The following is a 26,328-nucleotide window of genomic DNA, read 5'->3' on the forward strand; positions in this document are numbered from 1 at the left end:
ATCTCGGAGGACCTGAGCCACAGCCACCCAGCACCCAGCACGCCAGCCACAGCTGCTGAGCAGAGGGACCCAGTGTTTGGCCACCCCTCATGACGTCCCCACATGCGGCCTGGTGTTGGGGTGACTGAGGCCAGGAGTATGGGCATTTAAAACCCCAGAGGCATGGCCAAGGGTCTTCAGGCCAGCAAAACTGAGAGAAGCGACACCAACATGATTATCATATCCAATCAAGGACAAGGGCTGAGAGGCCGGGCCAGCAGCAGGGCCAGTGTTGGGGCCGCGGTGGAAGACCGGGGAGCTGGCAGGAGGGCGGGGAGCAGGGGGTCGCTCCCTGCACCGGAAGGACACTTCTGAGAGCCTCTGACGGCGGAGCTGGTGCAGAGCCTGAGGCCTCGGGGCCATTTGCACTGACAGGGGGTGTGTGTGATAATTTTAGCTGCCAAGTCCCATGACTCAAAATCCTGCTCCTGCCAGCAAATGAGTTTGTAACACAGAGTAATAAATAAGTAAACCGATTTTCTAAAGATTTTCATGGGGTTTCAAAAGGGGCCCACACCTTCCAGGAAGCCATGAGAATGCCTCTATGCAGGGCCTGGCCCTCCCTCAGGCACCTGGGCTGCTGCAGCCCACCCCACAGCCCCCACACAAGAGGCGGCCTTCCTAGACCTCTCTCCAGTCCTGGCTCCAAACCGCCACTGTCACTCCCGCCACACGCTGGCTCCGGGAGGCTGGAGGGGAGCCACACAGAGGGCTGCCCAGGGTGGGCCTCTTCCCAAGCTCGTGCTTGGCCCTCCCAGGGTGTGGGGTCTGCAAGAGCCTCCAGCCTCAGTTGGGTCCCAGAACCCACAGCCCGGCCTGCCTGCTCTGAGAGTCAGGAGCCCTGCCCAGGGTCTGGGCCTCCGTGGCCACGTCAGCCCAAATCAAGCCAGATTGCCAAGCCCTCCGGGACATTGCACGTCCAGCTGCCAGGCATGGAGAGCAGCCCGCACCTCTCCCGGCCCCCACCATGGGCCACCTTCACCCCACCTGTTGCTATTTCCTCCACCCTGTCCTGGCCTGGGCCCTCTGCTCTGCCCGGCCCTTCAGCTCACTGGCCTGTTTATTCACGCTGCCTGGCTCTGAATGCCCCCTGCACTGCCATGAACCTAGTTGACTCCCCGGCTCCCAGACACACATCTCAGTTCAGACTTTGGGCCGCTGCCCCTCCCCAGCAGGATGGGAACCTCACACCTGGCCTCCCTCCCTCTGGATCCGCAGGCTCCCCAGCCCCGATCCTGGCCCTGCTCCCTCTGGCAAGAAGCTCCCTGCAGGCCCTGACCTTGTGGTACAGAGCAGGGCCGCTCCTTACCCCAGCGGCGAGGGCTGGGGGTAAAGCTGAAAGCTGCCATGGAACATATCTTGGAATCTTATATTGTCAAAAACCTAATCTAAATGCTTTCTCCTGGATAATGTATTTTAGATGAGGTGGGTTTTTTTGTTTTTTTGTTTTGTTTTGAATTTTCAGGTTGAAATAAAAGCAAAGACTTCCCATGATGGCACTGTGGCTTCACACCTCACAGAGCCCAGGGCACGTGCACCCAGGCTCAGAAGTGGGCTGGGCTCCAAGCCGGCTCCACCCACAATGCACTATGGACCTTGGGCAGGGGAAATGAGGCTGTCAAGGAGGAAGGGATGAAGGAGGGAGTGAAGGAAGGTAGGAAAGGTGGGAGATCTCCAAGCAGGGGCAACCAGAAAGAGGCTCTGTCCCAACTGCTATGACTTCCACTGCTCCTGGAAGCCACGGATGGCAGAGCCAACACTATCTGCCCCCCACAGGACCAGGCAGGGCCACAGCAATGACAATCCTGCCACCTAAAGCAAAGCCCAGGGGCTTTACCCCAAAATAAAGCTCAGACTCTGACAGTCACCTCACTCACCAGCTTTAACTATTACTAAAGAGAGCCGTGAGCTCCTTCCACCTGGAAGTGCAGGCTGCTCCCTGGGCCCATGGGCACAGTCCCCGCAGCTCCTGGAAAGCTGCTGCTCAGACCTGTCCAAGTCTGCCGATGGAACTGAAGCGCCCAGAGCGGGGTCAGCAGGGGTCAAGAGATGAGGGACAAGCCAGGCCAGCATGCCTGCCCCCCACCCAGGCCCTTCAGACCCCACCAGACACAAGCATTGCCCTTGGTCTGGGGTCAAGTGCTCAGACCCACAGTCCAGTGCCATCACTCACCTGCCGGTAACTGGACCTCCGTGGGCCTCAGCTTCCTCATCTGTGAAAGGGAGTCCTGGTACCTGAACCACAGGTTCTCTTGCGTATTAAATAAGGTCACTGAGTGTGGTGGCTCATGCCTGTAATCCCAACACTTTGGGAGTCCAAGGCAGGTGGATCACCTGAGGTCAGGAGTTTGCGACCAGCCTGGCCAACATGGTGAAACCCCATCTCTACTAAAAATATAAAATTAGCCGGGTGTGGTGGCTCACGCCTGTAATCCCAGCTACTCAGGAGGCTGAGGCAGGATAATCGATGGAACCCAGGAGCGGGAGGTTGCAGTGAGCCAAGGTCTCGCCATTGCACTCTAGCCTGGGCGACAAGAGCAAAACTCTGTCTCAAAACAATGAAACAAAATAAAATAAAAAGGTCACTTAGGATAGCACTCAGCAGATTTCTCGGACAGAGATGGCTCGCCAAGCCCCTTCACCCAAGCCCCCAGTCCCTGACCTCCAGCTGACCACCCCTAAGAACCCCAGGGGACAGGGGCTGAAGCCCTGTGGTGCACCAGCCCAGGGCAGCGGGCCTTCGGGGGCAGACCATCTCAGTAAGAAAGCCACAGATAACACGGTTCCATCCGCACTCACGGACAAGAAGAGGGAGAACAAATACACACACGTTTTCTGAGAGTTTTTATCATTTTTTTTTTGTTTCATTTTGTTTTGAACACTAAGATTTATTTTCAAACAGCACACAGACCGTCTGCGGGGCAGAGCCAGGCTAGGCTGGTGTCTGGGCCCCACCCACAGCAGCTGCCAGGAAAAGAGGACCCTTGCCCGGGTGGCGCGGCCGAAGCTTCAGGCAAGCATGGTGGCTCGGCAGCCCCCAGCCCCGCCCTGCGGCCAGGCACACATGCGGGCACAGGCAGGGGCGCCAGAAACTCAACTAGAGGACACAGCAGCTTCAGGAACACTGGTGAATTCCGCCGGACTTGCCGGGACGCGGCTCTTTGGAAAACGACCTAATCTTTGGGAGAACGCCCCTCTGCCTGGGGGTCTCCTCTTGATTTCCCTTTGCTCTTCAAAAGATGAAAAACGAAAACAAAACAAAAAAAAGAACCACACATTTTTCGGGAGGAGGTGTTCTTCACACGCCCGGAGGCTGCCTGGGCCCCGCCGTCATGGGACCCTCTCAGTGAAGTTCTCGGGGAAGACGCCACGGCACTTCTCCAGCTCCTTGTGCTGGTTCCAGTCGCTCTCCTTCACGCCCATGAGCCAGCCTTCATCCTGAGGGGCAGAGCACCAGGTCGCACAGGGATGAGCAAGGGGCTCCACCCCACAGGGCACGCATCCCACTCCAACCTGCTGGGAAGACGGCCCCTCCTCCTGCTGTTGGTGCCTCAGCCTGCCAAGCCCACCTTGAGAACACCTCCTCCAGGCAGCACTCCCTGATGCTGCTGGCTGAGGCTCCTGCCCAGAGGCACCACAGGAGCCAGCCTGTCGTCCGCAGGTGGATCTAACCATTCGTGGCTGGTTTTGATGAGTCCCACTGCATGCATGATGTGCACATCAGCCCTTCCAGGATTCCAGGCTTCTCAAACAACCCCAGAAAGTTTTGGGAGTGACAACAAGTTACAAGTTCTAGAGGGACTTGGGGCCATCCCACCAGTCCCTCCAACTTCGACTTGCCCTTTGCTTCAATCCTGACACCCGCAGGGCCTTCTCTGGGAGTGCTGACAGGCCCCTGGCCCCAGGTGGGTCACGGGGAGCCGTATGGCCATCCACTCCTGCCAGTGGCTGGGCCGAGGCTGCCCCTGCAGCTGGGCTGTGCCTGGGGCCTACCTGGGTCTTTGTTATTTCCCTCTGTGTCATTGTCAGCCTGGTCACAGACCCTACTCATGCCCTATCTGAGCCCCCTCCAGCAGCCCCAGGCCAATTCTCACTGTGGGCTCTGGGTAGCAGTCTGCTTGAAATCCTACCCAGCCAGGGCTGGCCCACTAGGAGGTCCATGAAGACCTGGGGGCTTAGGAGAAAGGGCCAAATCAGTGCCAGGCCCACAAGGTCCTCATCACTCAGGCCTCCTGCCCCGGACCTCAATAAGTACCTGGTACCCCTACATCCCAGCCCAGGACCCCCAGTAGGGTCGGCCTCATCCAAGACCCAGGCAGACCCACTGTCACCCTCAGCCGCTCTGATAACCTATTCACACAGAAGCGTTGATGGCTAAACATGTTCTCTGGAAGCAGGAAGAAGCCGGCCAGGCCCTCTGTGCACAGCCCGAGGTGCTCAGGGGCTGAGCCGTGGAGGAAGCCAGATGCCCACATGGCACCACCGACCCCCCACAAGCAAAGCTGGCTCTACACAGCGGGGAGGCTCCTGCCAAGAGTCCAAGGCCCCCTGGGAGGGGCAACTGACCCAGATCCAGGAGGGTCCCAGACCTAGGAGGGACACACTTAGCACCCACCCAGGCTCAACAGGAGCCCTCACTTCCAGGAGATTAACATGAAGCCACAGCAGGAGGAGAAGGGTCTGGAAGGCATCGTGGGTGAGCCTCAGCCGGGGACACAGCTGGGAAGCCCATGGCCCTGCGTGCACAGGGCAGGGCCCGCCTCGAGGGACGGCACACGGGGCTTCATGAGCCCAACCAGTGCTCCGGCTGGCTGCAGGGTGGGCACCTTGTGGGCGGGGCAGGAGGGGTCAAGCATCCTGTCCCAGGAGGGAGGCAGGCCTCAGGCACAGCTGCCAGGAGAGGAGAAGGGGAGAGACAGAGGCAGAGCTGAGAGCGCCTGAGCAAAGGGGGGACGTGGGGAGAAGAAAGCAGAGGCTACAGGAAGAAGCGGGTATGGGGACAGGGAGAGAGAGAGGCCTAACAGGAGAGGGGCCAAGGGAAGGGAGAGGAGAGGGAGAGAGGAAAAAGCCCGACGTGGAGGGCGGGGAGGAGCAGTTGGCGCGGGAGCCCTGGTGCTCGCGGGCCTCTGCTGCCCCCTGCTGGCCTGTCTCCGCCACGGCGGTGCCAGCCGCAGCCAGGATGCCTGTGGTCCCCCTGCGCTCTGGCGGCCCCACCCAGCCCTCACCTGCTCTTCAGGGTTCTGGAAGGGGATCACCAGCACCACATCACCAGCCTTGAGCTGCAGCTCGTCTGTGTCAGTGGCCGTGTAGTCGTGCTGGGCCTGTACCTGCAGAGGATGCGGATCGCAAGTCAGACCTTCCGTCCCACCTCCAGCCCTGCACAGAGCACGGGCCTTGCGTGTGGGAGGTGCAGGTGGCAGTATGGAGACCAGGAGTGCTCAAAAGCAGCAGGACAGTATGGGGCTCAGATGCCACCTTGCTGGCTGGGAGTGACCTAGTAGCGCCTGCACAACTTTGGGCAAACCACAGAGTCTCCTGAGGCTCAGGGTTCTCATCTGCCCACCAGGGCACCGAGGGACTGCAGCAGTCAGAGGCTGTGGGCTCACCTTGAACATGAAACCTGGGGGCAGGTCCAAGCGCCCGGCCCCACTGCCGCCCTCCACGGTGCCATTCACAGTTGCTGGGAAGGTCTCCACCACGACAGCAGGAAGAGAGCTCTGGTGGCAGAGGTACGGGTCAGCTGAGCAGGGAGGTGGTCCAGGGACAGCCAGGGCCACCGAGGAGAAGAGGGGCGGGGAGGGGAGAAAGGTGTCTGCGCCTGGTGCCAGACCGGCCCGCCTCCAGCTTCCTCAACAGGAGCCAGGCCTGGACCAGCACCAGCAGGGGCCACAGGGGAGCCCCGGACAGGCAGGCGGGCGGCAGGGAGGAAAAGGCAGGGCTTTGTCCCTGCTGTCTTACGGAGGCTGCTTCACTTGCCGCCGTCTCCCCTGGCTCCTGGGCTCCAGCCGCAGGTTGGGTCCCACCCGCCACCTCCGAGGCCTCTGCTGGCTGCAACATAAATGCCGGCTTGGGGTCAGACACAGGACAGGACACAGCCAGGACACAGGAAACAGGCCACAGGAGGGCAGCACCCAAGCGACAGGGCCGGGGGCATCGCCTGGCTGGCAGCAGGGTCTAGAGCTGCCCAGTGCCTCGAAGAATCCAGGGAGCCTCTGCTGGACAAGCTGGGCCCTGGGCCGGGGAAGCAGCTGAAGAGTAGGCGCTGGCAGGCCCAGGGATGTGAGTGACAATGCTGTGAAGAAGCCCAGTGCAAGCCCCAGAGTGCCACCCCCAACCCCGCCTCACAGGCCCTGCTCTCTCGGCACCAAGACCTCGCCCAGCCACAGCCACCACCCGCCCACCCTGCTTGACCCGGCAGGTGGCAGGATCTTGCTGCACCTATAGATAGTCCATGGCAGGGGACAGCAACACACATCTGTCCCAGCCTGAGCACAACCCAGCGCAGGTGGTGCGGTGCAGCCTGTGCGCAGCCCAAATCCAAGAAGGGTGTGGCACAGAATGGGCACCGCAGCACGGGCACCGCAGCACGGGCACCACGGCAGGCCCTGCAGGAACCCCAGAGCTGGGCTGACCTGGGCCGACACTCAGACTTGGCCACTTCTGAGTGCTGGAACCAAGTTACTCAACCCTCCTAGCCCCCATCTCCTCATCTGTAAAAGGAGGAAGTGTCTGGCTGTAAAGGTGATGACGAAGATTAAATGAGAAGATTCTGGAAAGTGCCTGGCATAAACCAGTAGGTGCTCTAAATGCTCCTCCTGCGCTGGGAGGCTGGGCTGGGGTGGGCAAGCAGGAGGGGCTGATGCGCCCAGCTGCGCTCACTCATCCCTGGCAGCCTTGGTGACAAGCCCGTGCTGGGGCAGCCTAGCTCAGGACCCTGTCCTCACCCTCACATCCATGGTGGCCTGGTCCCTCCTGCAACCCCTCCTCGGGGCTCTCCTTCCATGCTGCACCCCTAGAGACTGGGGACAAGCCAGACAGGGGCTGGAGGTGGGCACTTACTTGGGCAGGCCCCGGCTCGGCCGTCTGGCTGGGCCAGGACACAGCAAAGGTGCCCTCGGCAGCGCTGGGCTCCCCGGAAGGCAGGCTGCCGGCTGGACTCTCTGTGGGCTGGTAACAGGCCACGAGGAGAGAACAGGGAGGGGGCGGGGAGGCCGGGGTGGAAAGGCAATGGGCAGGATCACAAGACAAGAGAAAATGTCACCAGCGGCTGGGGTTGGTGGGGGCAGGGTGGGTACCAGCGGAGCCCGGCCAGCCACCCGCCTCCCACATCCTCTCTCCTACCACTGTCAAAGGGACAGGCAGGTGTGACTGTGCTGCCCAAGCTCAGCACCTACCGAAATCCACTTGTCAAAATGGCCCTACCAGCTCGCACCAGGCTGGCTCTTTCTGGCTTCCTCCAGAGGGAAATCCTGCGGTGGAGCCTCCAGAGCTCCCAGGAGCCTGGGCTGCCAGCGCATGCCCCAAGGGCGCCTGCACACCCGCCTGCCCCTCCCAGCATCTCTGCCTGTATCAGGGGGTCTCAGGGACAGAGCCCAGGAGACCCTGTTGGAATTCTGGCTCTACCATGACCAGTTCTTGGGCAAGTACTGAGCCTTCCCTGAGCCTCTGTGTCCTGAGCTATCAGGTGACAGTGACATGGTGCTGTGTGAGATGGCCTTGCACCTGCCTGCAGGCCCTGCTCTCAGAAGGCACTCAGCCACACCCTGTCTTCCCTGACTCTCTCAAACCATCCATTCCTCCCCTCTCCCCTTCCTCGCAAACAGCTCCCCACTGCCAAAAAGCTCAGAGAAGGCAAGAACCTTCTACCCTGAGGCCCTCCTGCCCCACACCCTGAGGACACTCGTCCATCCTGGGTGACCGGCCCACTTCTGTCTGGAGGCAAACACTCACAGGCTGTGAAAACAGGACCAGATCTCAGGGGACCCCTGTCTCAAGCTAAACCGAAGATCCCCTTTTCCAAGGGCCTGCCAGAGGGAGAAGCAGCAGAATGGCTGGAGGCGGGTGGCTTCACCAGCTCCCTGTGCGTGAGCACGTGCCTGTGTGTCCTGCGTGTGGGGGGTGTGTGGGGTGCATGCACCTGTGAACAGGCTAGGAGCATGTGGGCCTGGACACATACGGAAGAGTGGCTCCCCCAGGGGCTGGACAAAGAGCAGACGTGCAGCTTACCTCCCAGAGGTCCCATGGAATTGACTGAGCGCAGCAGTGAGGGCGAGAAGGACAGTTAGCACAGAGGTTAGAGACAGGGCGGCAAGCAGTCCCCAGGGACCCTACCCCCGCTCGCCCCAGGCCATCCAGCCCAGCAGGCACAGGAGTGGCTCGGAGCCAGGTAGACTCCAAGATTTGCAGGTGGCCGAGCTCCCGACACCTCTCAGGGAGCTTCAAGACCCCAAGCCAGGATGCTTCTGCCCCAAGCGATGAGCACAAAGTTGCCAGGAAGTGTTCAGTAACCCCCTACTGAGAGTTCTCCCAGCTGATCAGGGGCTGCTTCCTGCCCTACAACCAGGAGGTGATGAGGGCTGAAGGCTGAGGTGCCAGGGGAAGGGCAGTGACCCAGGCCTAGCTGGGGTCACGTGGCCAATAGGCAACATGAGCCCAGGGTTGGGCACCTGGAAGCTGGTGGGCCCATGGGCAGTGGTGGGCACAACCAACCTGACCAGAGGGCGTGGGTGCCTTCACAGGGCTCGTCACGGGCGGGAGGGGGTCAAAGTCCAGGTCCAGCAGACTGGCCTGCTCCGAGAAAGGCCCCGGGGCCTCAAACTTGGCAGCAGCAGCAGCAGCAGAGGAGGAAGCAGTTAGTGTTAAGCTGGGAGCCCTCACCCCAGGCAGACACTGCAGGCACAGGCACACGCGTGGACACACACACATACACACACCACGCATGCAGAGCAAGCGCACATACACGCACACACGCTGGCACACAGCCCAGGCACCAACTCATCCACCTCACACACGGGAGCACTGCCCAAAGCCACGCGCCCCGGCACAGGCTCCCGCCCACACCAGGAGGACGACCCCAGTGCCCGCCTCAAACTCCCAGTCATAGGTCCGCCCGTGGCCGCCACCCCGCAGGGCCAGCACCAGGCCCCAGCTCTCTTCCGCCACCATCCACAGACTGGTGGGCCCCTCCCCACCAATGCCCGAACCTCCTCTCCGCTCCCTGCGCCAAGAGTTCTGCTGATCTTGCTACCCCCCAGTGGCGAGAGTAACACCATGCCACAGCCACCCTCAGTGCTCCCGACTGGGAAAGTTCCAAAGGCAGAGACTTCACACTGGCTTTTCCTCCACCCCAGACAGGGAGGTCACTCTCTGGCGACACCACCAGCCGTCAGCTCCAGGGACGGAGAAAGAGTGGAGCCAGCCACAAAGCCCAACAGGCCAAGCTTCAAAGTGGGGTCTTCAACATTCGGGGGCTTCAGAACCACCCGGGGCACTTGGGTTAAAACTGCAGGCCCCTGACCCCTCCCAGCAGCCCCTCGCCAAGATCTCCTTCCAGTGAGCCCAGGAATAGGCATGTGACAGGCATGGCCCCAGGGATGGGACACGGTGGCCCTGGCCACACAGGGACAAGCCTCCCCATAAGCTGGGCCAGACTAGCATGGGAGGAAGGGGCTTCCTTAGAGCCCCCGGCACAGGCGGAGACAATGACTCCGGTGAGCCCTGGGGCAGCATCCATGCCCAGGGCACAAGCTGCCTTCTGAGGAGCAGGGACTGGCTCGGCTGCGGTCTCCATCTTGTACCTGGGGCTTCCCTTTGGGGGCCAGAGAGAACTTTGCCCAGGTTTAAAAGGAGAGGGACGTGGCCGGGGTGCTCCCCTCCGGGGCCCTCAGGCAGTGCTGGAAGAACTCCAGCCCCGCAGCCCAGGCCAGCGGCTTCCCGGCTCTACACACTCTTGACAGGCACCGGACACTGACAGGGGCGCCCTCCCACCCGGCCTCCACCATGAAGGATGTGAGACCTGGGGCTGTGGGCCGGGCTCCCCAGAGGCACCTCCATAGCTGAGCCGAGGGCCCATTGGGAGAGACCCAAGGTCCTCAGTCCTAAGAGGACCCAGCTGTCCTGCAGCTCAGGGGACAAGGCGTGGAGCAGTCCACATGGCCAAGCCAAGGTGTCAGACAGCTCAGGCCAAGTGGACTCACTTCCTAGAACCAGGGGCCCTAGGCCCCAAGCCCTGCCCTGGGCCAATCCCAGCAGCTGACTTTCCTTTAGGTCCAGCCCTGTCTGGGGAACCCAGGGCAGGGAGGTCACTGCTCTGCCCCATAACCGGCCGTCTCTGAAGGAGCCCTGAGGACGCCGGTGCACAGCCTCGAGGTGCCTCCCACCAGCGGGCGGCCAGCATCTCTCCCCAGTGGCCCCCACCCTGCCCCAGCAACACCCCTCCCTCCTGTCTCAGAAAAGTCAGCCAACCCAGGCAGCAATATCCGTCATGTGCTGAGGGGAGGGTCATCCGCCAGAGAGCTGACCATCCCTTCGCTGTGCTGCCCCGGCAGGTGGCACCTCGCCATGCAGGCCCGGGACTGTCCCTCCATGCAGGGACACAGGCTACTCACCACCCCACAGCCGGGAAGCCCGTGGGCACCCGTGTCATGGACAAAGGCAAGCCCACCCCTGCCCCATGCCCCACCCAAAGGTCATGGCTCCCCGACCCCAGACCAGACCGGGAAGACCAGTTGCCTGGAGATGGCACACGCGGTGGCCAGGGAGGCAGGTATGGTATGGAGGGATAGGCGCGCTCAGAGCCTGGGTGCGGGTGGTCTCTGCACCACCTCCTGGCCTGGCACACCTTGCTCTGGCGTGGGCCCGCGGCACAGGCCCTGGGTTCCTTTCCTCACCTGTTAAATGGGGGCATGATGTCCTCCCAGAGGGTGATTGAAAACCAAACAATGGGGTATAGGAAGTGGCTGGCACCGTTCTCTGCTCAGTATTTGCCAGTGTCCATGCCATCCCGTCTCCCTCGCCTGCACACACACTGGGCATCACCAGGGCGGAGGCATGCTCGAGCCGGGGAGGCCAGCAGCAAGCAGCCCTGGAGGTCCTCAGCCCTGCCCCCACACTGCTCTTCCTACATCGCCCTCTGCCACTATCCCACAGAGAGGGGCTCCCGCGCCTGCCAGGCCCCTGAACTAGGGCGTCACCCACCCAGACACCTGCAGCCTCAGTTCCTTAGTTCTAGTCCTAGTCTTTGCATAGGGGCTTGAGGCCCACCATCCCCAACCCTTCCTAGCAGCGACCACTGTTCGCAGTTCCCAGCGGCCACTCCCCACACTCACACCCTCCAACCTATCCCCACTAGGCGTCTGAGCTGTGTGAAGGTGTTTGCTGGAGGCCACCACAGCCTGGACTGGACAGCCTTCCCTACAGGCGAGGCTCTGTGTGGGAAGGGTCCTGGCCTACCCACAGGAGGAAGGCTGAGGCCTTGAGGGCTGGACTTGAGGAGGCAGTCAGCTCTCGGGGAGTGCGGGGAAGGCCGGCCACCTCTGGGCAAATCTGACAACACGTCAGCCCACTCCAGCACTGGCAAGATGCGCTTCCAGCACAGGTACTCCAGCCCGACCTCCACCATGAAGGACGTAAGACCTGGGGCTGTGGGCCAGGCTCCCCAGAGGCACCTCCACGGCTGAGCCAAGAGCCCACTGGGAGAGACCCAAGACCCTCTGCGTGGCTCCTTGCTGAGCCAAGGGCCCGTCGGGAGAGACCCAAGCCCCCCTGGGTGGCTCCCTGCTGTATCTGGGCATTCCACGCCTCTTAGGGAGTGTGCACACGGCAGTTCTGCCCTGCAGCCTGGCCGCTGCCCCCGCCCTCGAGGGGCTGACAGCAGCTGTGGGAGCTGAAGTCCAGGTGCTTCAGCCATTCCAGGACCTTCCAACTCTCCCTGGCCCTGGAAGCCTTCCCTGACAGCCACACGTCCTCCACACTCCCCGATCCCCTCTGCCATAGCACCCACTGCGTCGCGAGGGCGCTGCTGATGTAACTGCTGCGCCGGGAGAGGCGGCACCTTCCCCTCTGTGGCCCTGCATCTGGCCTTAGTACATGCTCAGAGATGGGTGATGGAGGATGATGGAGGATGATGGATGGAGGGAACAAAGGGTGAGAGAGGGAAACTGACACTCTCTCTGGCCAGATTCCTGGCTCTTGAGACAGAAGCATAGAGGATGAAGGCCATGCACGCCCTGAGAGGGCAGGAAGAGAGGAGAGCTGGGCCGCGGCGGCCGCGGCTGACCTGGGAGGGGGTGGTCACGCTGATCTCAGGGACAAACGTGTCCTCAAACAGGCTGAGGATCTGCTCCTGCTTGACTTCCTTGGACGGGGTGTGTTTGGGAGGCGGAGGGACTGGTGGGCCTTTCCGGAGCTGTGGGTCGGCGGCGGGTGAGGGGCCGCGCGGGAAGGCACAGCAGAGCACGGGGTTTGGGGGAGACAGACAGAGACAAAGCCACGGTTAGTCACACCTCAGGCCACAGTCCCACCCAGGCCACTGAGCAGGACGCAGCAAATGAAGAGTCACTGCCCTCCCAGCCCCCCAACATAGACACCAAGACCCCAGGCCACCCCCGAGAGGGACACTGAGGCAGGCGGTCCAGAAACGCTGTGTGGAGAGAGAAGAGATAGAGAAGTGAGGGGAGAGGAGGAAGGAGAGCGAAGAAGAGAAGAGGCCCCAGGCTGCCCACTGGCCAACTGTGGGAGGGGCTGGCTCCCACTGGCCTGGTGAGAAGACTGGGGAAGCAAACAGTCGTTGAGAGACAGCCGGGCCCCAGCCTCCCCCTGCCCACCTCTCCCTTCCCGCAGGCCCCTCTCTCCACCTCCCAGGGCACAGGGCTGCCCACAGGGAGCCCAGCTCAGACGAGTGTATCCCAGAGGAAGCCAGCGTGGCACCAGGATGGGGCAGAGGCCACACCCCTGCCCACCAGGTGGGGGACCTCAGGCAGGTCACACACCCATGACGCTGGGCTTCCTCATGCATCAGGTGATGACAGCGCCTGCTTCACAGGGGTGTTGTGGGGACTCAGTGAACGAATACACAGAAGGCACTGGCACCATGTCCAGGCCGGGGGAAGTGCTGTTTGGGACAGGCTCCCACCATGTCCTTAGCCCTGCTATCCTAGTCAGCAGCAGAGCAGGGCGGCAGCAGAAAACGGGGAGCTGCAGGATCCCCGGCTATGAGAACACCCCCACCTGGCCAGCCAGCACCTAGGGCCCTGCAGACACCTGGAGGGCCCGCTGGGGGCAGGCGGGGTGGAGACAAGGACAGTCCAGAAGCCCAGGACCTGCCCCCTTAGCCACCCCACACCCTCCTCTGAGCCCTTCCTCTCTCTGTCCCTTTAAAGGTCCTGCATGGCCACCTGGCTTGGGCTCCTCCCTCAGGCCCCTTTAAGAGAGAGAGGCCAGGAAGAGGGACAGGCAGCCCACTCTGGAGATCTGGATGCTCTGTGGGCTGAGGGCCCAGAGCCTCTGCTAGGGAGGAAAAGAAGATGGAGAAAGAGTCAAGCAGACAAAAGACCAGGGAGAGGGAAGGGGAGGGCGCTGCAGTGGGGGTGGGGGCTGGGGAGGAGCGAGCAAGTCACAGATGCCTCCCGGAAGCATGCCAGGCTGGATGGGGGAAAGGAGACCCAGGTCCAGGCCCAACCCCCACTGGGCAAAGCATCGGGTCCATAGCTGCCCAGGCCAGAAAGGGGACAGAGGAGTGGGAGGATGGAGGACAACAGCAAAGCCGGAGGAGAAGGAGGGAGGGCAGGGGACCTGCTACCAAGACATCACTCCTACCTGAGATGGGGACTTGGGGAGGGTGGCCCCGGGCGTGGCCCCGCCGGCCGGCTCTGGCTCGTGGTTGACTCTGATCTCGGGGGTGGCGGCAGGGGAGCCATCTGGAGGCGAAGGGCTCTTGTTCCCTTTTGCAGGCGCGTTGTCACTGTGGGGGAGGACAAGAAAGGGAGCCCAGTGTTGGGGGGCCAAGGCACAGGAGACGGAGGGGCAAATGTATTGACGTCTGTGTGAAGAGGTGTGTGCATATGGAGGTGTGAAACTGTGTGTGTGTGTGTGTGTGTGTATGTGAGAGAGAGCAGGAGGGTGGGGGGAGCCAAGGGACCTGGGCTTGGGGGGCTGGAAGTGGGAAGCCTGCCTCAGAAACAGGAACAGCACAAGGTGGGACTCCAGGCTGGAGGTCTATGGTCCCCAGGAGTGCAGGCAGGTCCCTTGGAACCATCTGTCGCAGAGACCAGACCAACCACCCCACAGGCTCCATGGGGTCCACCAGGGCCCATGCTGACAGCCCAAGATCCACAGCAGGAGAAAGCCAGACATCCTAGAGGCACAGTGAGTCTCCCACACCACACGCAGCAGCCCCTCTGTTCTGGGGTCTGCTCCCCAGCCTGCTGCCCTCCCTGCCTGTCCATCACAGCACCCTGGTACATGTCTCTAGACCTTGGCTCTCCTGTCCTCTCGGCTGCTGGAGGCCACAAGCAGGGCCTGGACAAACTAAGAGAGGCGTCCTCATCACAGAGGAGTGGGCAGCTGGCGATGGAGGGGACAGGTCCTGAGCCATGGCGTTCAGTGCCAGAACCCAAGGCGGAGGTGGTGTGATGCTGTGCACCCCAGGCACAGGGGCGAAGGTGCAGGGAGAAAATTCTCTACCAGAACCTGCACAGAGACGCCTAGAAAAGTGCTGCCCAGTACGGTTGCCACTAGCCACAGGCGGCAATGCAAACTCAAAGCAATGAAATTTACGTGTAATTCAAATGAAAAGTTCCGCTGCCCGGTCACACTGGCCAGTTTCAAGTGCTCAATAGCCCCATGGGGTAACTGGCTCCTGTGCTGGACAGTGCAGATCTAGAAGCATCCAGCAGGAACCAGTGACCGAGTCACCTGAGGGCAAACAGTGGAACAGCGTAAGAGATGTCGCTGACACCATCTTTCCTTCTGGAATTTGTGTTTTATGGGAATGTATTCTCCTTAAAGAATATATGTATAAGTATATGGTATACACATAGAATTGTTTAAAAAACAAAAAACCCCACAGTGCTGCAGTGTCACCTCCCTGGCCCTCCCCAGGCCTCCTTCCCAGCCACGTCCTCCATTGCTAAGTGCGCTGGTGGCCCGGGCACCACCAGGGCTAGACAAGTGTGGGGCGCCCAGAGGAACGTGCTAAATGCAGCCAGATGCTCAGAGGCCAGCCCGCCCCGCGCCGCCTCCGCCTTCCCACCCAACACGCACACGACAGCCCTGCCGGGCAGCACTGCACACAGAGCCAGATTACGGGTTAGTGGCACCTGGGAGCAGGGCGCAAGGCGCATGCACAGGGCCAGCCAGGGCGCGGGCCTCTGCGCCCCTCCGCAGCACTCACTGCCGGTACCTGTTCTTCTTTCTGCGCAGCCGCGAAAACAGTTTACTTTTCTTTCTGTGGGGACGGACGGGAGGTGGAGGCCTTCATTCTGGAGAAAGGCCAGGTGCAGAACTGGCCTGTCCCCTTCCCTCTTTGCCAACCCTTCTGCTCAGAGGACAAAGGGGCAAAAGCCTCTCCTAAGTGCCAGAGGCCTTGCACAGGGCCTGGGCGTGCTATCCCGGGGTGCCCTGACTGGCCCCTGCTGTGGCCAGGTGCCCGAGGTGATGCTAACAGGGCCTGGTGAGGGGCAGGAGGCTCGGGGCAGTGGAGAGTCACCCTGCCTGTGGTCCCAGTCCCCAGGAGCTCCAGGTGTGCCCAGAGTGCCAGAAAAGGCCCCCAGGCGAGCACAGAGTGCACAAGAGGCCTCTCTGCTGGAAGGGAGACTCCTGGGCCTCTACTGCCCCTCTCTCTTCCCTCCACCTCCTTCCTGAGGGGAGCCATGGTTCTGGCCAGGACGGCCCCACTTACCCCCTGCTGATCCATCCCAGTGTTCCCACCTGTGCCTACAGGCCAGGCAGCTGTCCCTCCCTGCCCGACCTTGAATTCACCTTTTGGCCTTTATTCCACAACCCCCACCCCGCTACCCACCCCCCCAACCACCACCACAACGCCACCGTCCTAACCTCCCCACTCCCAGCCTCAGGTCACCATGGCCCCTCTCTCAGCCACAACTATTTTATGTTCAGGGAAGGAGGGGGCAATCACCACCACCCGATACCCTCATCATCCCAGGCAATACCCCAAGAAGCAGACAGTCGCCCTGTTTTACAGAGTCCATCGGTGTTCTCTGCGTTCTGCTGTGATATGTGTGTGGGTATGCACACACTTACACCTGTCACACACAGTCCCCCTCACACACACACATGCACACATGGCCAGAAGGGAGGGGAAGTCCCAGGCTCGCTGCTTCCTCTGATCCACAGCCAGGAAAGCAAGGCATTTCCCTCCTCCCTCATGGTTTCCCCTCAGGAAACAGAGGCCTCCTTGCAGCTGGGATTCCCGGAGGGGCTGAGGCTGAGGACAGGAAGAGGATGCTCGTGTGGTTGAGCAGAATGCTGCCATCCAGGGACATGAGCTTTTCCAGGAGCAGGAGAGGGAAGGGCGGTGCTATCTCCCTGCTCTGAGAGGACTGCACACCCCGGAGTCTTTCAGTCCTGTTCACACCCCCCAGTCCCCAAAGCTGAGCAGGCTGCCCACCCCAACCCTGGATGCTCGTGCTCCACAATGAGGGGGTCAGCCGGCTCAGGGACCCGCGGACTCCCCAGAGTGCTCCTTCCTCGACGAACACAGCCAGAGGGGCAGGGACATTCGAGACAGAGACCTGCCCTCACCTGCCTCCCTGAGCACAGAGAGGCCAAGACAGGAAGGTCCCTAGACCCCCAAGGCCAAACCCATGGGGGACCAGGGAGGGCACCAACAGGGTCACAGGAAGGAGCCCTGCCCCTGCCGTGCACACAGTCAGGGGCGCCAGGGCTCTCCCCGCACGCACCTGGGCTGGGCCTTGACCGTGAAGGTGTTGCTCCCGTGTTGCTTCTCCAGGCCGACCAGCACATCATTGAGGTTCTGGTTGAGCTGCAGGAGAGACAGTGAGGAGGTGGGGGGCCTCCAAGGCCACCAAACGGCCCCACCTTCCCCAAACACCTCTGCTTCTCCCCACCACCCCCAGCCCCTGCCAGGAACAAGCTCCTCTTTCCCCATCTGTGAGAGCAAGGAACTAGCACACCAAACCCCGAAAAACCAAGGGGGCAACAAAACGGGGCAAGTGGGCTATATCACTAATGCCTGCTGTCTCTGGAAGCCATCTTTTCCCCTCCTACTTATAGGGATATCCTAAAATGCCACATAGAGCTTGCACTGTTTTTACATTTTTCTCTTAAAACTTGTTTTGGCAGACCATTAATCTTAATTGTTAAGGTCATTTTGCCAAGATGCTTTCAGACCACACTACAACTGCCAGATATTTCACTGAAAGCACAGGCACGAGCGGAGGTTTATTCCTCACACACGGTGATTCTCATTACTGAGAATATTCCTCTCTTTGATTTGGCCACTAGGGAGCTCAGAGCCGAATCTTCATCCTATTTATAAACAACTATGTTCTGTGGCATATATTTTTACAGACTAATTTTATATAAATGTTCCTTCTCTGAAACACCTTTCTCTATTTTTTAAACTTTTCGTAAGTTGTCTCCAATCTTCGAAGGGAAAAAGGAAAAGTTAAGAAGGAAAGAGAAAGTCTAAAAGGCAGGAAACCGTACTTAGAAGTGTGAGTCAGGGGAGGCCCCAAGCTGCTTTTCCTCCTCCGACCCTGGGCCTGGAATCCACCATCATCACTTCATCCATCTGGGCCCAAGAGACAAAGTCAGACCCACCACTGGGGGCGGGGGTGCCAGCCCTGGGTCTCTCCAACTGCAAAGTTCAACAGCTTTGCGTTTTAGTTGCCAGATAGGTTAAAATGAAAATAACACAAGAGAGAAAGGTACGCTAATCAGACCAGACCCTGTCGCACAGTGGATTCACGCAGACGAAACAGGCCTATTTAAATGTCTCAAAAGCATGGGAGAAAAATTAAAATTGAGAAAATGCTAGTAATTTTTTCCTACAAATTGAGAAACTGCCACCATTGTCTAACACTGCACTCCCTGGGCCAAGGTTGCTAGAGAACACATTCACAGTTTGAGAGGGCCTGGTCTACATTCTCAGGTGGTCTACCCAGGCAAGGACCCAGGACACTCTCAAAGCCTCCCCAGCATGCCCTGCTGCCCTCCTGGGCCCAGGCACTCCTGAAGGGGGCTGTTCCACAGGGCCGGGAGGGAGCCCTGTGGTCACCGGTGTGTGCTGAACCTGGCAGGGAAGGAGGAGTTCAGGCTGCCCCTCCCACGACTCTGACTCTGACCCTCGGCCAGGGTGGGGTGTGGCCCCTCAGAGGGGTCCCCATGGCCTACCTTGCTCATCTCCTTGTGGAAGTTTTCCTCCAGGCCCGCGATGCTCTGGAACGTGTTGACGTAGAAACCTACGCGGCTACAGAAGGGCGGAAGGATGGGGGCCAGGTGAACAGGCAGGTCAGGACAGCAACTCAGAAATACCCACCCACGAGCGACCACACACGCTCATCAGAGGCACAAACCAGAGAGGGCCCAGGCACCGCAGCACTCAGGCTGGACACTGCAGCACACAGGCTGGGCACCGCAGCACGCAGACTGGACACCGCAGCACGCAGGCTGGGCACCACAGCACGCAGACTGGGCACCGCAGCACGCAGACTGGACACTGCCCCACGCAGGCTGGGCACCGTGCTGGGCCTCACCTGTTCCACAGGGACGGCAGCTCCTCCTGCAGATCCACATTCATCTCCTCAAACACCTTCTGGGCTTTGATGAGCTCCTCCTCGGCCTGGGGGGCAGCACGGGTCATTCCCCTCTGTTGGGCGTCCCAGCCAGCCCAGCCCCATGGCCAGTCCTCCCACCTCCTGCCCACCCCTCTTGGCCAGTGCGCTGGGACCAGGGCTCCGGGCAAGACAGAGGCTGAACTGGATGTGGACACCCATGCTGGCGACCTCCCCCTGCAGCCCTCCAGGACCCTGAGGACATCTGGGAAAGGGAGGGCTGAGCAGCCGTTGCCAAAGAGAGGCCCACGTGGCCGGGAGGGCAGTGAGCGTGGAGTAGGGCACAACAAGAGGGGCAAGCCTGGGGCTTGGCGAGCTGGACACGGGACATGCACAGAGGCAGACCCCAGACCCAGCCAAGTGGGGACCCTGCCCACTTCCACAATGAACCTCCTCAGGCTAGGTGCCAGCCCTGCCACTGCCTTCTGGCTCTCAGGGCAGCATCTGTCGCTGCCCCCAATTGCCCCCGCCCCTGAGTGCTCCCTCCCCATTTCTGAGGGCCAGCTCCTGGCAGCCTCAGCCACCAGCCTTCACTTCACCTCCCAGGGATGGTCCTTCCCACAAAGCCCTCTCCTGGGACCTGTCCCCACCAGAGGGAGACCAGAGGCAGCCACTCAGGCACCTCTAGGAATGTCAGGGGGACCCTAGAGGAGGGTGCAGGGCCAGGGAGGAGGCAGCCAGGCAGCTGGGCTGTGCCTGGTCCCACTCCTAGCCCACACCTTCCCCAGGGCAGGCCCTGCATCCTCCAGGCACTCACACCCACCAGGCAGTGGTGCTCAGGCCCCATCACACGGCCACAGAGTGCTGGGGAAGGGACTGCGGGCAGCAGGTGAGTCACAGACCCTGCCCGGTGCCCAGCCCGCCCAGGGAAGGGGCTGTGCTGGCTCACTGCGGGAGGACACTGCCGGCGAGAGTGACTCAGGGATTCGGGGTCTGAGTCACAGCCCAGGAAAGTGTCAGGCCCCGCCTAGGGAAACTTCCCGCCAGCAGCCTCACGTTCTCAGGCCGGGGCTGGGGCCCAGGCTGGGCCGCCTTCTGGCAAAGGCAGCCAGATGGCCGGAAGGCCACTTAACCACAAAGCACACGATTGCCCCAAGCCCAGCCAGCTGTCCCATCCAGCCTCAGACACCAGGACTAGCCCAGGTCAGCCCCTAGGCCCAGTGACTTGGGTTGGGACTGGAGGAGGGGCCACCATGGCTTCTGAAAGGTTACCTCCAGCTACTCGCTAGAGTGGGCGTGGGCTCCTTGCCTGGCTTTTCAGAATCTAATAAAAATTTAAAGGCAGAATGGGGAGCGGGGGGTGGGGAAGAATGTCTATTCCAACATGCACACCTCTCTTGGATCCAGGGACCCTGGGCACCCCACACCAGGAGGGGAATACTGCCCCTCCTCCGTCTCCAGGCTATGGCTGGGCCATCCCTGCCCTACTCCCCTGGGTGTCCCATTACCTGGCAGGGGGGCTGCCAACCATGGTTCTATGGAACTCATAAAATGAGTGAGTCCTAGGGGTACTGTTGTGAGCTGAGCACCATCACACATACCCCCTGCCCTCAACTGCCAACAGTGGGTCTAAAGTCCCACATTCCGTAAGAACCTGCCTGGACCACCCGGCTCCTGTACCCACTAGGACCCCCTCTCCATGAGGATGCAGCCACCACCCCCACAACTCCCCAGATGGCAACGGTGGGGACAGCAGTGAAGACAGCACCGCAGCTTGTCTGTGGGAACATCTGCACCCAGCCGTGCTCTCACCGCTCAGCAACGCTGCCGAGAGCAAGAGCGGGGACAGTTCCGCTTGAGTTCCTGGAAGTCAGGACCCGTGTCTTGTATTCCCTTTGGGTGACATTCCTCATATTCTGGCTCTTTAGGAAGCATGTGGAAGGGGCAGGGAGTAAGGTGAGGGCTGTCTGCCATGAGGAGAGAGTGCCCCCACCCCAGCTCCACTGAAGCTAACAGTGGGGAAGAGCAGAGTCACATGGGCCCGGGGTCCCGAGGACAGCATTCAGGACGCTGAGGCAGGTGTGGAGAGCAGCTCAGAACTAGCCCAGGGTCTGCATGGAGCCGGCCAGCCCCCTGGTGCAGCCTAGAGAGGATGCACTATCTCCCCAAAGTCAAGTTCCCAAGCAGGGCAGCCCCGGAGTCCCAGCTGTGCCATCTCACAGCCAGCCAGCTGCCCACAGGCCACTCCAAAGGCTCTCCAGCCTCCAGCCAGGTATGAGTGGGCTGGGGACAAGGAGGATGTGCTCAAATAAAGATGGGACCCAAATGGGACAGCTAGTTTGGCCAAAATGTGAAACACCCACAGCCCAGCACCCAAAGGTGTGATCACCTGCCTCACCCTCTCGCTGCTCCCCCAGGGTGGGCGTGGAGGCAGGCCCTCCCAGCATAATCCCAACCACACCTGTCCCAGGAGCCCAAAAGCAGTGGGCAGGCCCCATAGCCTCCTAAGAGGTTCTCCCATCCACAAAAAAATGTTTCACCTGTTTCAGGGAAAATTATTCAGAAACCCGGGCCCTCCGTCAGTAGTCCCATTCCCTTCTAGCCCAAGTGCTGAACTGACTGGCAGGGCATACCCACTCCAGCCCCTGGTTCCTCCTCTACCTCCAGAGGCAGATGAAGTCTCAGGCCTACTGAAGTCCCCCTAGGCATCACCCCCAGCCCCTGGTTCCCCATGGGCACCCTGACCTCAGGATGAGGCTGTCAACACTCAGTGTCTCCAAAGTCAGCCTTGGCCTAAAATAAATCAGGCAGCAGATCAGGTGAGAAACTGGACAGCCAGGCCAGGAGCAGTGGCTCAGGCCTGTAATCCCAGCACTTTGGGAGGCCGAGGCAGGTGGATCGCTCAGCCCCAGGAGTTCAAGACCAGCCTGGGCAACATAATGAGGCACAGTCTCTACAAAAAACGTAAAGATTAGCCAGGCACGGCAATGCGTGCCTGTGGTCCCAGCTACTCGGGAGGCTGAGGCAGAAGGATTGCTTGAGTTGGGGAAGTCAAGGCTGCAGTGAGTCATGATCACACCACTGCACTCCAGCCAGGGGAACGGAGAGAAACCCGTTCAAAAAAAAAAAAAAAATAGAAAAAGAAATTGGACAGCAAGCCATGCCAAGCCCACCCAGAGCTCTCCACGTCACAGGCACTCAATGAAGATGATGAAATCAAGAGGAGGCTCCGAAAAAATGGGGCAGCTGCCCAGAGAGAAACCCAACCTCCGGGGCCGGGCCCCTATCGCCAGCCTCTCGGGAATATGGAGAAGTGTGAGGGCCACATCCAGGCTGTGACTACACTGACCTGAAATGTGCCTCAGTTTCATTGGCGAGAAAACCACATGACCCACCTCTCACAGGGCACTGCATCCAGTGGTCCCTGGCCACACTGTAACCCATTTGGAGGGCAGGGGGCTGAGAAGACCATAGCCTCTATGGCCAGGATGGTGAGATGGCCCAGGAGTTTTGTAAAAAAGCCTCCTCCGGGAAGCCCCCCAGGAACACTGTGGTGCTGGTCACTTGCCCTCCATGAATCCCCAAAGGCCAAGGACCCATGCTTCCCCTCCACGTCTCAGCATCCCATCCAGACTGGAGGGTCCTCCCAGTAACTCCTCCAGAGTCACCACGGGGACCACAAGTCCGAGGAAAATGACGCAGGGGCTTCAGTCAGGAGAGCCCCAACCCTGCCCCTAACCGGCTCTGGGGCCCTGGGAGGAGGCTGTGATGTGCCTCTCTGGGCAGCTTTCTCTGCTCAGTAAATTCAAGATGATCTCAGAGTTGTCATGTGGCTTGAAGGACAGGCATGGCAGTACAGGGGCCTGATGATGTCGCCTCCCTCCCCAGAGGAGCCCTCACAGAGGACAATGGCTCAAAGGCATTCCTGGACCACTAGGATTTCAGAGGAGTCTCCAGGAATGACCACAGATGCAGCCACGGAGCGGGCATAGCTATGCCCCCACCCAGGTCACACAGAGCCCCTCAGCCGGTTCTTTGACCCCTACATTTGACTTCAGGTCTCCTCTGAAGCAGAGCTCTCCCAGCAGAGGCCTTTGAAAAACCCTGCCCCAGCTGGGCTCAGATGCCAGCCCTGCATTCCACCGCAGGGCGAGAGGACAGGACGACAGACCGGAAGGCGCCAGCACGTGCAAGGTTAGAAGCCAGTGTCACCTGATTTCGGAGCAGGTTAGTTTGAGCTACGAGATGAGCCTGCAGTTTGCCTTGGCACCACTGGGGGGCGGCTTTCTCAAGCAGCGAGACAGGCTGGGGTGGGGAGGTCAAGGCAAAGGAAGGTGGAGAGACCAGGGAGGTGGGGAGAGAGAAACAGAGACACACAGATTAAATGCAGGTCCACACGCCCCACGCGCGGGGGCCACCCCAAGCAGATATGGGCCCTTGAGGCCGAGAGAATTAGGGGGAGCCCGGGGGGTAAGGAAAGGGGGTGAACTCCAACTGCAGAGGCAAAAGGTGAGCGTGGTTAGCAGCACAGGGGGCCCAGCAAGCACGGCCCTGCCCGGAGGACGGGGCCACCCCAGCCCCTCACCAAAGGATGAGTGGGGCCAGCTCTGCACCTACTGGCTCGCTCCAGCCAGGGACAGGTCGCCTGGGATCGCGTGACGAATTCCACCCGGCTCGCCAGGCAGGGCGGCGCCGTTCCAGGGAAACCCAGGAGGCCCATTCTCAGGCTGGCAGGTGGCCTGGATCAGGGCTGAGGGGCCAGGGTGGCACGGGGGGCAGGAATGGGCCTAGGGTGGACCTCACCCAGGCACCCACAAGGGCCTCTCACTCACCGGCCTGGGCCCTGTATCGTCCCCACCCCCAGTTCAGCCACCTGGGGCCAGGCAGGAGGAAGCCTCCACCCTCGGGGTCCTAGACACCCGCCCTCTCTCAGCCCCCTGCAGACGCTGCCCCGACCCGCCTCCAGCCCTTACCTTGGCAATTTTGGCTTCATCCTTCTTTTTGGCAGTTTGAAGGGACTCGTAGTGGTGCCGGGCACTGTCGTAGTCCACCAGCTTGCGCCCCCGCTTGGCAATGCGTGACTGGGGCAGACAGAGGAGGGCACTAAGCGGGGCCTGGCACCCCTGCTGAGACTCCAGGTCCAGTGGATCCTGGAGGGACCCGCAGGGCGGGCAGGAGACCCCAGCTCCACAGGAACCCTTGAGCCCTTGTTGCTGGAACCCTCCTCGTGGCAGAGAGCTCACCCCCTCCTGGCCGTCCAGCCCCACTGTGTGAAACCACTTCCTTGCACATGAGCCCATGTGTCCGTGTCCACCAGCTGGTGACGTGTCAGCCAAGTCTTTTCCTTGGCCTGGCCCCTGGCTTCTCATCTCCACAGCCACCAACATCAGACTCAGGGAGCTTGAGGCATCTGCACTGGGGACCCCTGAGGCTAGCATGAGCATGACACCCCCATCCTGCCCACCAAGGGGATCTCGTCCAACCCAATGGTCAACCCAGGCTTCCATGTGCACGTTACCGGGGACCACTCGCCTCGGTGGATACCAGAGACACTGCCAGCTCCGAGCACCAACCCAGGCCTGGCAGAGACAGCAGGCTTTGCGAATGCACACAACCACACGCACACACCCACACATGTAGACCCAGACAACAGGTGACATGCACACATACCCTTCCAAGCACCCATGGTGTAAACACAGGGGACCTGCAGGCACACACATGTGTAGGCCCTACTCACCCTTCTACACCTTCCACAATCATATAGCCAGCCACTCCGCAGCAACACACACACACACACACACACACACACACACACGTGCCGTGAGGCTTCCTCCCATAGCCCTGAGACCCAAAGGGACAGGAAAGGAATGGGGGGCCGTGGGCTGGTGGCAGAGGGAGCAACCCCGGAGGGGTGAAACACCGGGCCAGGCGCTTCCTGCCTCCAGGACAGCCTCCTCCTGGCCTGAGCCGCACGTCCTAGGCCCTGTCCTCTCTCCAGTTCCCTCCAGGCCAGAGCAGGGCAGATCTGCAAGTGGGTCTCTCACCTTGATGTCGGGGAACTGGCCCAGGTACGTGTCCATGGTCAGCAGCGCCTGGTCCACCAGCTTCTGGTGGTAATCCATCCACAGCAGGTCGTTGTTCTGAGACAGGCAAGAGCACGACAGTGCCACCAGGAGGGCTGGGCCACACCCGCCCCAGCGCTCACCTCGCAGGGACCAGCCCCAGCCCCATCTCTTCACAGCTCAGTGGCTTCTCAGAGCCTCAGTTTCCCCATCTGTAAGATGGGGGCAAATGTTCCTGCCCTATTGGGGTGACTGTGAGGATCAGATACGCTGAGGACTGGGGTCAGCCAGGGAGGCTTTGTGAGTTGTGAGCCATAACACACAAATAAGGACGACCACGACCCACCATCTGACCCACCTTGGTGTGAGGGCGTGTCAGGAGAAAGGCCCTCAGAGAGGGAGGGCAGCTTGCCCCAGGGCACACAGCACGCGAATGCCCGAGAACCAGAGAGGCTTGTCCCAGAGGGCACGGCAGAGTGGGACAGGAGCTGAGACCAGAGGGCCCTCTGAGAAGGGCAGGCCCACCTGTCCCATGCTCACCTCTGCGATCTTGTTTGCCTCATCCCTGCCGGGCCAATCGGGCTCATACACCTCCTGCAGACACTCATTCAGCTTCTTGGAAGCCTCGTGCATGGCTGTGGGGCAGAAAGGAAGTATGTGGGCCTCCCACTGATAGCGCTTGTCCCACCCTCCCCAGCTCTGCACCCACCAGCTCTACACGGGCCAGGTGCGCTCTGCCTGCCTCCTACCTTTGACGGAGGCCAGGTAGGTCCGGAGATCCTTCTGCAGCCGGGTGCCCTCCGTCTGCAAAGAGAAGGACAAGGACCAGGTCAGGGACTGGTGGCACACCCAGTCCCTGACCCTCTCCTTCCTGCCACCCTCACGTGAATGAACCAGGCTGCTCTCCTGACAGCAGCCACTGATCAGCTGACCTCCCAACAGGACAGCAGCTACGGTCACCACCCCTGCCTCAGAAGCCCTGCGTCCATAGGCACCCTTGCCCATGCTTGTGGGCACCTGCCATCTTCCAGATGCCATTCTCAGCCCAGGAAGGAAGGCAGGAAGACAAAGACCCCCCTCCGAGATGACGTGCTGGAGGTACGGCTGAATGACACACAAACAGCACAGCACCAGTGTGCAGCAGCCCCGGCACTCACAGACCTGCCCTCAGACACCTGCAGACAAGTGACCAATGAGCACAGGAGTATGGGCAAGGCAGGTGTGGTGACCACCAGGCCCCCTGCTCCACAAGCTCAGGTGGTGCCCAAGGACAGAGAGCTCCCACTGCCTCGTACTAGGAAAAGAGGGCCCGGTGCGAGCCTGTATAGGGACAGAAGACCTGCGGAAGAGACGGCACTACAGCAGGGGTGCAGAATGCGGTGGTCATGGCCAGGATCACTGGCCCAGCTGACAGCAGGGACATAGGATGTAGAGGGAAAAGGCTGAGGGGACAGTGGGCTGGGTGGTGAAGC

At 60.8% G+C, this 26,328-nt stretch overlaps 1 protein-coding gene across 16 annotated transcripts in view, besides 10 other annotated features; it reads right to left on the reverse strand.

Moving 5' to 3' along the window:
- The window catches only part of BIN1 (bridging integrator 1), a 59,132-nt gene continuing 35,670 nt past the window's right edge, over positions 2,867 to 26,328 (reverse strand). Inside the window, exons 3-19 of one of the 16 annotated variants that reach the window (NM_001320642.1) lie at positions 25,606 to 25,660; positions 25,397 to 25,491; positions 24,839 to 24,934; positions 23,768 to 23,875; positions 23,007 to 23,099; positions 18,777 to 18,862; positions 18,415 to 18,490; positions 16,959 to 17,041; positions 13,855 to 13,999; positions 12,317 to 12,445; positions 8,749 to 8,856; positions 8,266 to 8,289; positions 7,099 to 7,206; positions 5,998 to 6,087; positions 5,646 to 5,756; positions 5,265 to 5,366; positions 2,867 to 3,477 (exon numbers count right to left, since the gene is read on the reverse strand). In NM_001320642.1, the coding sequence (NP_001307571.1) occupies positions 3,370 to 3,477; positions 5,265 to 5,366; positions 5,646 to 5,756; positions 5,998 to 6,087; positions 7,099 to 7,206; positions 8,266 to 8,289; positions 8,749 to 8,856; positions 12,317 to 12,445; positions 13,855 to 13,999; positions 16,959 to 17,041; positions 18,415 to 18,490; positions 18,777 to 18,862; positions 23,007 to 23,099; positions 23,768 to 23,875; positions 24,839 to 24,934; positions 25,397 to 25,491; positions 25,606 to 25,660 (1,617 nt within the window). In that variant the 3' untranslated portion in view covers positions 2,867 to 3,369. Of the gene's footprint in view, positions 3,478 to 5,264; positions 5,367 to 5,645; positions 5,757 to 5,997; positions 6,088 to 7,098; positions 7,207 to 8,265; positions 8,290 to 8,748; positions 8,857 to 12,316; positions 12,446 to 13,854; positions 14,000 to 15,439; positions 15,485 to 16,958; positions 17,042 to 18,414; positions 18,491 to 18,776; positions 18,863 to 23,006; positions 23,100 to 23,767; positions 23,876 to 24,838; positions 24,935 to 25,396; positions 25,492 to 25,605; positions 25,661 to 26,328 lie in introns of all 16 variants that reach the window. The other 15 variants (NM_139343.3, NM_001320641.2, NM_139344.3 and 12 more) reach the window with 15 other exon arrangements.
- Positions 8,000 to 8,758: an enhancer, noted in NCBI's record as "H3K4me1 hESC enhancer chr2:127810732-127811490 (GRCh37/hg19 assembly coordinates)". NCBI's record gives its function as "activates a minimal SCP1, AML or CMV promoter by ChIP-STARR-seq in primed H9 embryonic stem cells {active_cell/tissue: H9 hESC(primed)}" and the evidence as "EXISTENCE:reporter gene assay evidence [ECO:0000049][PMID:30033119]".
- Positions 8,759 to 9,517: an enhancer, noted in NCBI's record as "H3K4me1 hESC enhancer chr2:127811491-127812249 (GRCh37/hg19 assembly coordinates)". NCBI's record gives its function as "activates a minimal SCP1, AML or CMV promoter by ChIP-STARR-seq in primed H9 embryonic stem cells {active_cell/tissue: H9 hESC(primed)}" and the evidence as "EXISTENCE:reporter gene assay evidence [ECO:0000049][PMID:30033119]".
- Positions 16,875 to 17,491: an enhancer, noted in NCBI's record as "H3K27ac-H3K4me1 hESC enhancer chr2:127819607-127820223 (GRCh37/hg19 assembly coordinates)". NCBI's record gives its function as "activates a minimal SCP1, AML or CMV promoter by ChIP-STARR-seq in naive H9 embryonic stem cells {active_cell/tissue: H9 hESC(naive)}" and the evidence as "EXISTENCE:reporter gene assay evidence [ECO:0000049][PMID:30033119]".
- Positions 18,942 to 19,767: an enhancer, noted in NCBI's record as "H3K27ac-H3K4me1 hESC enhancer chr2:127821674-127822499 (GRCh37/hg19 assembly coordinates)". NCBI's record gives its function as "activates a minimal SCP1, AML or CMV promoter by ChIP-STARR-seq in primed H9 embryonic stem cells {active_cell/tissue: H9 hESC(primed)}" and the evidence as "EXISTENCE:reporter gene assay evidence [ECO:0000049][PMID:30033119]".
- Positions 18,942 to 20,495: a biological region, named in NCBI's record as "P300/CBP strongly-dependent group 1 enhancer GRCh37_chr2:127822028-127823227".
- Positions 19,296 to 20,495: an enhancer, noted in NCBI's record as "P300/CBP strongly-dependent group 1 enhancer chr2:127822028-127823227 (GRCh37/hg19 assembly coordinates)". NCBI's record gives its function as "activates an origin of replication core promoter dependent on BRD2, BRD4, P300/CBP, MED14 and CDK7 cofactors, with strong dependence on P300/CBP, by STARR-seq in HCT116 cells {active_cell/tissue: HCT116}" and the evidence as "EXISTENCE:reporter gene assay evidence [ECO:0000049][PMID:35650434]".
- Positions 19,617 to 19,911: an enhancer, noted in NCBI's record as "tiled region #572; HepG2 Activating DNase unmatched - State 4:PromP, and K562 Activating DNase unmatched - State 5:Enh". NCBI's record gives its function as "activates a minimal TATA promoter and a strong SV40 promoter by Sharpr-MPRA in HepG2 and K562 cells {active_cell/tissue: HepG2 | K562}" and the evidence as "EXISTENCE:reporter gene assay evidence [ECO:0000049][PMID:27701403]".
- Positions 19,630 to 20,098: a silencer, noted in NCBI's record as "fragment chr2:127822362-127822830 (GRCh37/hg19 assembly coordinates)". NCBI's record gives its function as "represses an EF-1alpha promoter that drives an FKBP-Casp9 reporter gene in an ReSE screen in K562 erythroleukemia cells {active_cell/tissue: K562}" and the evidence as "EXISTENCE:reporter gene assay evidence [ECO:0000049][PMID:32094911]".
- Positions 22,244 to 22,875: an enhancer, noted in NCBI's record as "H3K4me1 hESC enhancer chr2:127824976-127825607 (GRCh37/hg19 assembly coordinates)". NCBI's record gives its function as "activates a minimal SCP1, AML or CMV promoter by ChIP-STARR-seq in naive H9 embryonic stem cells {active_cell/tissue: H9 hESC(naive)}" and the evidence as "EXISTENCE:reporter gene assay evidence [ECO:0000049][PMID:30033119]".
- Positions 22,876 to 23,506: an enhancer, noted in NCBI's record as "H3K27ac-H3K4me1 hESC enhancer chr2:127825608-127826238 (GRCh37/hg19 assembly coordinates)". NCBI's record gives its function as "activates a minimal SCP1, AML or CMV promoter by ChIP-STARR-seq in naive H9 embryonic stem cells {active_cell/tissue: H9 hESC(naive)}" and the evidence as "EXISTENCE:reporter gene assay evidence [ECO:0000049][PMID:30033119]".

Source organism: Homo sapiens, chromosome 2, assembly GCF_000001405.40.
Source record: "Homo sapiens chromosome 2, GRCh38.p14 Primary Assembly".
NCBI lineage: Eukaryota > Metazoa > Chordata > Mammalia > Primates > Hominidae > Homo > Homo sapiens.